General features: G+C 37.8%; 2 annotated features.

Annotated features, from left to right (window-relative positions):
* Nucleotides 6,693-7,276: an enhancer, noted in NCBI's record as "NANOG-H3K27ac-H3K4me1 hESC enhancer chr6:86767333-86767916 (GRCh37/hg19 assembly coordinates)". NCBI's record gives its function as "activates a minimal SCP1, AML or CMV promoter by ChIP-STARR-seq in naive H9 embryonic stem cells {active_cell/tissue: H9 hESC(naive)}" and the evidence as "EXISTENCE:reporter gene assay evidence [ECO:0000049][PMID:30033119]".
* Nucleotides 7,277-7,862: an enhancer, noted in NCBI's record as "NANOG-H3K27ac-H3K4me1 hESC enhancer chr6:86766747-86767332 (GRCh37/hg19 assembly coordinates)". NCBI's record gives its function as "activates a minimal SCP1, AML or CMV promoter by ChIP-STARR-seq in naive H9 embryonic stem cells {active_cell/tissue: H9 hESC(naive)}" and the evidence as "EXISTENCE:reporter gene assay evidence [ECO:0000049][PMID:30033119]".

The raw sequence follows: 8,139 nt of genomic DNA, 5'->3' as shown, positions 1-8,139 counted from the left end.
TTCCAAAAGCCAAAACACCTCTTCTCTTCCAAAGGATCACAGCTTCTTGCCAGCAAGGGAACAAAACTGGATGGGGAATGAGTTTGACGAACTGAAAAAAGTAGCCTTCAGAAGGTAGATAACAACAAACTCCTCCGAGATAAAGAAGCATGTTCTAACCGAATGCAAGGAAGCTAAGAACCTTGAATAAAGTTTAGAAGAATCGCTAACTAGAATAACCACTTTAGAGAAGAACTTAAATGAACTGATGGAGCTGAAAAACACAGCATGAGAACTTTGTGAAGCATACACAAGTATCAATAGCTGAATTGATCAAGTAGAAGAACGGATATCACAGACTGAAGATCAACTTAACAAAATAAAGCGTGAAGACAAGATTAGAGAAAAAAGAATGTAAAGGAATGAACAAAGCCCCAAAGAAATATGGTACTATGTGAAAAGAGCAAACCTACATTTGATTGTTGTACCAGAAAGTGACGGGGAGAATGGAATCAAGTTGGAAAACACTCTTCAAAATAGTATACACCAGAACTTTCCTAGACTAGCAAGACAGGCCAACATTGAAATTCAAGAAACACAGAAAACACTACAAAGACAATCCTCGAGAAGAGCAACTCCAAGACACATAATCACCAGATTCACCAAGGTTGAAATGAAGGAAAAAATATTAAGGACAGCCAGAGGGAAAGGTCAGGTTATCCACAAATGGAGGCTCATCAGACTAACAGCAGATCTTTCTGCAGAAACCCTACAGGAAGAGAGTGGGGACCAATATTCAACATTCATAACAAAAAGAATTTTCAGCCCAGAATTTCATATCCAGCCAAACTAAGCTTCACAAGTGACGGGAAAATAAAATCCGTTACAGAAAGCAAATGCTGAGAGATTTTATAACCACCAGGCCTGCCTTACAAAAGCTCCTGAAGGAAGCAGTAAATATAGAAAGGAAAAAAATGGTACCAGCCACTACAAAAACATACCAAATTGTAAAGACCATCAACACTATAAGGAAACTGCATCAACTAACAGGTAAAATAACCAGTAACCAGATAGCATCATAATGACAGGATCAAATTCCCAAATACCAATATTAACCTTAAATGTAAAAGAGGTAAATGCCTCAATTAAAAGACACAGACTGGCAAACTGGATAGTCAAGACCCATCAGTGTGCTGTATTCAGGAGACCCATCTCCTGTGCAAAGACATACATAGACTCAAAATAAAGTGATGGAGTAATATTTACCAAGCAAAAGGGAAGAAAAAAAAAGCCGAGGTTGCAATCCTAGTCTCTGACAAAACAGACTTTAAACAAACAAAGATCAAAAGAGACAAAGAAGGGGCATTACATAATGGTAAAGGGATCAATGCAACAGAAGAGTTAACTATCCTAAATATAAATGCACCCAATACAGGAGCACCCAGATTCATAAAGCAAGTTCTTAGAGACCTACAAAGAGACTTAGACTCTCACACAATAATAGTGGGAGATTTTAACACCCTACTGTCAATATAAGACAGACCAACATGACTGAAAATTAACAAGGATATTCAGAACTTGAACTCAGCTCTAGACCAAGCAGACCTAATAGACATCTACAGAACTCTCCACCCCAAATCAAGAGAATATACATTCTTCTCAGCACCACATCACAATTATTCTAAAATTGACCACATAATTAGAAGTAAAACACTCCTCAGCAAATGCAAAAGAACGAAAATCATAACAAACAGTCTCTCAGACCACAGTACAATCAAATTAGACCTCAGGATTAAGAAACCCACTCAAAACAGCAAAACCACCTGCAAACTGAACAACCTGCTCCTGAATGACTACTGGGTAAATAACGAAATTAAGGCAGAAATAAATAAGTTCTTTGAAAGCATTGAGAATAAGGGCAAACATACCAGAATCTCTGGGACACATTTAAGGCAGTATTTAGAGGGAAACTTATAGCACAAAATGCCCACAGGAGAAAGCAGCAAATATCTAAAATTGACACCCTAACATCACAATTAAAGGAACTAGAGAAGCAAGAGCAAACAAATTCAAACACTAGAAGAAGACAAGAAATAACTAAGCTCAGAGCAGAAGTGAAGGAGATAGAGACTCGAAAAACACTTCAAAAAAATCAATGAATCCAGGAACTGGTTTTTTGAAAAGATTAACAAAATACATAGATCGCTAGCCAGAATAATAAAGAAGAAAAAAGAGAAGAATCAAATAGACACAATAAAAAATGATAAAGAGGATATCACCACCAATCCCATAGAAATAAAAACTACCATCAGAGATTGCTATAAACACCTCTATGCAAATAAACTAGAAAATCTAGAAGAAATGGATAAATTCCTGGACACATACACCCTCCCAAGGCTAAACTAGGAAGAAGTAGAATTTCTGAATAGACCAATAACAAGTTCTGAAATTGAAACAGTATTTAATAGTCTGACAACCAAAAAAAAACCATGGACCAGACAGATTCACAGCCGAATTCTACCACAGGTACAAAGAGGAGCTCGTATCATTCCTTCTGAAACTATTTGAAACAAAAGAAAAAGAGGGACTCCTCCCTAACTCATTTTATGAGGTCAGCATCATCCTGATACCAAAACTTGTGAGGGACACAACAAAAAAAGAAAATTTCTGGCCAATATCCCTGATGAACATCGAAGCAAAAATCCTCAATAAAATACTGGCAAACCGAATCCAGCAGCACATCAAAAAGCTTATCCACCATGATCAAGCTGGCTTCATCCCTGGGACGGAAGGCTGGTTCAACATATGCAAATCAATAAACATAATCCATCACATAAACAGAACCAGTAACAAAAAACACATGATTATCTCAGTAGATACAGAAAAGGCCTTCGATAAGATATAACACCCCTTCATGCTAAAAACTCTCAATAAGCTAGGTAGTGATGGAACTACCTCAACATAATAAGAGATATTTTTGACAAACCTACAGCCAATTTCATACTGAATGGGCAAAAGCTGGAAGCATTCCCTTTGAAAACCGGCACAAGACGAGGATACCCTCTCTCACCACTCCCATTCAACATAGTATTGGAATTTCTGGCCAGGTCAACCAGGCAAGAGAAAGAAATAAAGTGTATTCAAATAGAATGAGAGGAAGTCAAATGGTCACTTTTTGCAGATGACATGATTGTATATTTAGAAAATTCCATCGTCTCAGCCCAAAATCTCCTTAAGGTGACAAGCAACTTCAGAAAAGTCTCAGGATGCAAAATCAATGGGCAAAAATCACAAACATTCCTATACACCAATAACAGACAAACAGCCAAATCATGAGTGAACTCTCATTTACAACTGCAACAAAGATAATAAAACACCGAGGAATACAACTTACAAAGGATGTGAAGGACCTCTTCAAGAAGAACTACAAACCACTGGTCAAGGAAATAAGAGACTACACAATCAAATGGAAAAACATTCCATGCTCATGGATAGGAAGAATGAATATCATGAAAATGGCCATACTGCCCAAGGTAATTTATAGATTCAATGCCATCCCCATGAAGCTACAAATGACTTTCTTCACAGAATTGGAAGAAACTAAAGTTCATATGGAACCAAAAAAGAGCCTGCATTGCCAAGACAATCCTAAGCAAAAAGAACAAAGCTGGAGGCATCATGCTACCTGACTTCAAACTATACTGCAAGGCTACAGTCACTAAAACAGCATGTTACTGGTACCAAAACAGACATATAGACAAATGGAACAGAACAGAGGCCTCAGAAATAATGTCACACATCTGCAACCATCTGATCTTTGACAAACCTGACAAAAATAAGCAATGGGGAAAGGATTCCCTATTTAATAAATGATGTTGGGAAAACTGGCTAGCCATATGCAGAAAACTGAAACTGGATCCCTTCTTTAGACCTTATGCAAAAATTAACTCAAGATGAACTAAAGACTTAAATGTAAGTCCTAAAACCATAAAAACCCAGAAGAAAAATTAGGCAATACCATTCAGGACATAGGTATGGGCAAAGACTTTATGACAAAAACAACAAAAGCAATGGCAACAAAAGCCAAAATTGACAAACTGGATCTAATTAAACTAAAGAGCTTCTGCAGAGCAAAAGAAACTATCATCAGAATGAACAGGCAGCCTACAAATTGGGAGAAAATTTTTGCAATCTGTCCATCTGACAAAGGGCTAGTATATCCAGAATCTACAAGGGACTTAAACGAATTTACAAGAAAAATTAAACAACCCCATCAAAAAGTGAGTAAATGATATGAACAGACACTTCTCAAAGGAAGACATTTATGCAACCAACAAACTTTTGAAAAAAAGCTCATCACTGGTCATTAGAAAAACGGAAATCAAAAACCACAGTGAGATACCATCTCATGCCAGTTAGAATGGTGATCATTAAATGTCAGGAAACAACTGATGCTGGAGAGGCTGTGGAGAAATAGTAACATTTTACACTGTTGGTGGGAGTGTAAATTAGTTCAACCATTGTGGAAGACACTGTGGTGATTTCTCAAGGATCTAGAACCAGAAATACCATTTGACCCAGCAATCCCATTACTGGGTATATACCCAAAGGATTATAAATCATTGTACTATAAAGACTCATGCACACATATGTTTATGGCAACACTGTTCACAATAGCAAAGACTTGGAACCAACCCAAATGCCCATCAATGATAGAGTGGATAAAGAAAATGTGGCACATATACACCATGGAATACAATGCAGCCATAAAACGGATGAGTTCATGTACTTTACAGGAACATGGATGAAGCTGGAAACCATAATTCTCAGCAAACTAATGCAGTAACAGAAAACCAAACACCACATGTTCTTACTCATAAGTGAGAGTTAAACAATGAGAACACATGGACACAGGGAGGGAAACATCACATACCAGACAATGTCATGGGGTGGTGGGCTAGGGGAGGTATAGCATTAGGAGAAATACCTAATGTAGATGATGGGTTGATGGGTGCAGCAAACCACCATGGCACATGTATACCTATGTAAGAAATCTGCATGTTCTGCACATGTATCCCAGAACTTAAAGTACATTTTAAAAAATGAATTTAAAAAAATTTAAGAAATTAACATACTTTATGAAATTAGTCATTGAAAATTGTACACATATCTCTATTAAAATAATTTGTGCTTCAATCATTTTATAATTTTTAGTTAAATAATTCCATATTCTTATAAAATCAATTTTTAACTTATACTGATATTTCAAAAGTATATTTAAATTGGAGAACCACCAAATTACATTCCTGATAAAAGATTTATCACTAAAAAATTGCTAAAGAACTACTCAGTATTACTGGAACATTGCTTTATTCTCACTGAAAGTCACATTTTTTTTTCTGGAAAAGGCAACTTGTTTTTCATTTTTTGAACAAGTTAACCTCTTGTGACCCAGCTTCTAAACAGACACTGGAAAATAAAAATGGCCAATTCCCATCTTCCAAAATAAACCAAACAGCTTAGAACAGATATTGAAAAAAAAAAAAAAAAAAGGTGGAGGACTCCAACACCTTCCTGACAGCACTAGATAGATTATTGAGACAGAAATCAACAAAAAACACTGTACATAAATTGGACTTTAGATCAAATACCTAACAGACATTTACAGAACACTTTACTCAATAACCACAGAATATATATTCCTCTCATTAGAGGAATTAGAACATTCTCTAATCTAAAACATTTGTTAGGCCACAAAACAAGACTCAATAAATTTTTAAAAATTAAAATCATACCAAGTTTCTTCTTGCATCACAACAGAATAAAACTAGAAATCAACTCCAAGAGAACCTCTTAAAACTATGCAAATATGCAATAACTAAACAACATACTCCTCAACAATTTTGGGGTCAATGATGGAATCAATTTCTTTTAAAAGAAATTTTTTGAAATAAGTGAAATTGGAAATACCGAAACCTCCGGGAAACAGTAAAATCAGTGCTAAAATTAGAGTTTATGGTATTAAATAGCTACATCAAAAAATAGAAAGATCACAAATAAACAACTTAATATCTCACATCAAGGAACTAGAAAAACAAGAACAAACCATATGCAAAGCTAGCAGAAGAAAAGAAACAATGAAGATCAGAGTATAAACAAATAAAATTGAGACCCCAAAATATACAAAATATCAATGTAACAAAAACTTGCTTATTTGAAAAGATAAATAAAATTGATAGACTGTTAAAAAGAATAAGAAGATAAAAGATCCAAGTAATCCTAATCATAAATGAAAAGAAGACATTGCAAATAATCGCAAAGAAATATAAAAGATCAGAGACTACTAGGAAGAACTATATACCCACAAATTAGAAAACTGACAGAAAATTGATAAATTCCTAGAAACATACAATCTCTCAAGATTGAAAAAGGAAGAAATAAAAATTCCAAACAGATCAATGATAAAGTATGAGATTGAATCAGTAATGAAACACCTTACAACAACAAGAAAAGCACAAGACTAGATGGATTCACATGACATACAAAAAAGAAATGATACAAATCCTCCCAAAACTTTTCTGAAAAATTAAGGAATAGAAATTTCTCCCTAATTCAGTCTGTGAAGCCAGTGTAACCTTGATACAGGCTTCCTGTAAGCTAGACAGGAACACAACAAATAAAATAATAAAACTTTACACCAATATCCCTGATGTGTAAATACTCAAGAAAATACTAGTAAATTCAACAGCGCATGAAAAAGATAATACAACATGATCAAGTGTGTTTTATTCCAGGAGTGCAAGGATGATTCAACATACACAAATCAATAGATGTGATTCATCATGTAAACAGAATTAAAGACAAAAACCATATGATAAGTTCAATAGAGGCAGCATAAGCAAGCATTCAATAAATATCAGCATCTCTTCTGGATAAAAAATCTCGGCCGGGAGGGCTGGAGCCAAGATGGCCGAACAGGAACAGCTCTGGTCTAGAGCTCCCAGCGTGAGCGATGCAGAAGACCAGTAATTTCTGCATTTCCATCTGAGGTACAGGGTTCATCTCACTAGGGATTGCCAGACAGTGGGCGCAGGACAATGGGTGCTGCACACAGTGCGCAAGCCGAAGCATGGAGAGGCATTGCCTCACTCGGGAAGCCCAAGGGGTCAGGGAGTTCCCTTTCTTAGTCAAAGAAAGGGGTGACAGATGGCACCTGGAAAATCGGGTCACTCCCACCCCCATACTGCGCTTTTCCGACAGGCTTAAAAAATTGCGCACCAGATTATATCCCGCACCTGACTTGGAGGGTCCTACGCCCACGGAGTCTCACTGATTGCTAGCACAGCAGTCTGAGATCAAACTGCAAGGCAGCAGCGAGGCTGGGGGAGGGGCACCCACAATTGCCCAGTCTTGCTTAGGTAAACAAAGCAGCTGGGAAACTCAAACTGGGTGGAGCCCACCACAGCTCAAGGAGGCCTGCCTGCCTCTGTAGGCTCCACCTCTGGGGGCAGGGCACAGACAAACAAAAAGACAGCAGTAACCTCTAAAGACTTAAATGTCTCTGTCTGACAGCTTTGAAGAGAGCAGTGGTTCTCCCAGCACGCAACTGGAGATTTGAGAACGGGCAGACTGCCTCCTCAAGTGGGTCCCTGACCCCCGAGCAGCCTACCTGGGAAGCACTCCCCAGTAGGGGCAGACTGACACCTCACACGGCCGGGTACTCCTCTGAGACAAAACTTACAGAGGAACGATCAGACAGCAGCATTCGCGGTTCATGGAAATCCACTGTTCTGCAGCCACCGCTGCTGGTACCCAGGCAAACAGGGTCTGGAGTGGACGTCTAGCAAACTCCAACAGACCTGCAGCTGAGGATCCTGTGTGTTAGAAGGAAAACTAACAAACAGAAAGGACATCCACAACAAAAACCCATCTGTACATCACCATCATCAAAGACCAAAACTAGATAAAACCACAAAGATGGGGAAAATACAGAGCAGAAAAACTGGAAACTCTAAAAAGCAGAGTGCCTCTCCTCCTCCAAAGGAACGCAGCTCCTCACCAGCAATGGAACAAAGCTGGATGGAGAATGACTTTGACGAGTTGAGAGAAGAAGGCTTCAGACGATCAAACTACTCCGAGCTACAGGAGGAAATTCAAACC

Source organism: Homo sapiens, chromosome 6, assembly GCF_000001405.40.
Source record: "Homo sapiens chromosome 6, GRCh38.p14 Primary Assembly".
Lineage (NCBI taxonomy): Eukaryota > Metazoa > Chordata > Mammalia > Primates > Hominidae > Homo > Homo sapiens.
The sequence above is the reverse complement of the archived record's forward strand: the minus strand, read 5'-3'. Positions and strand labels throughout refer to the sequence as shown.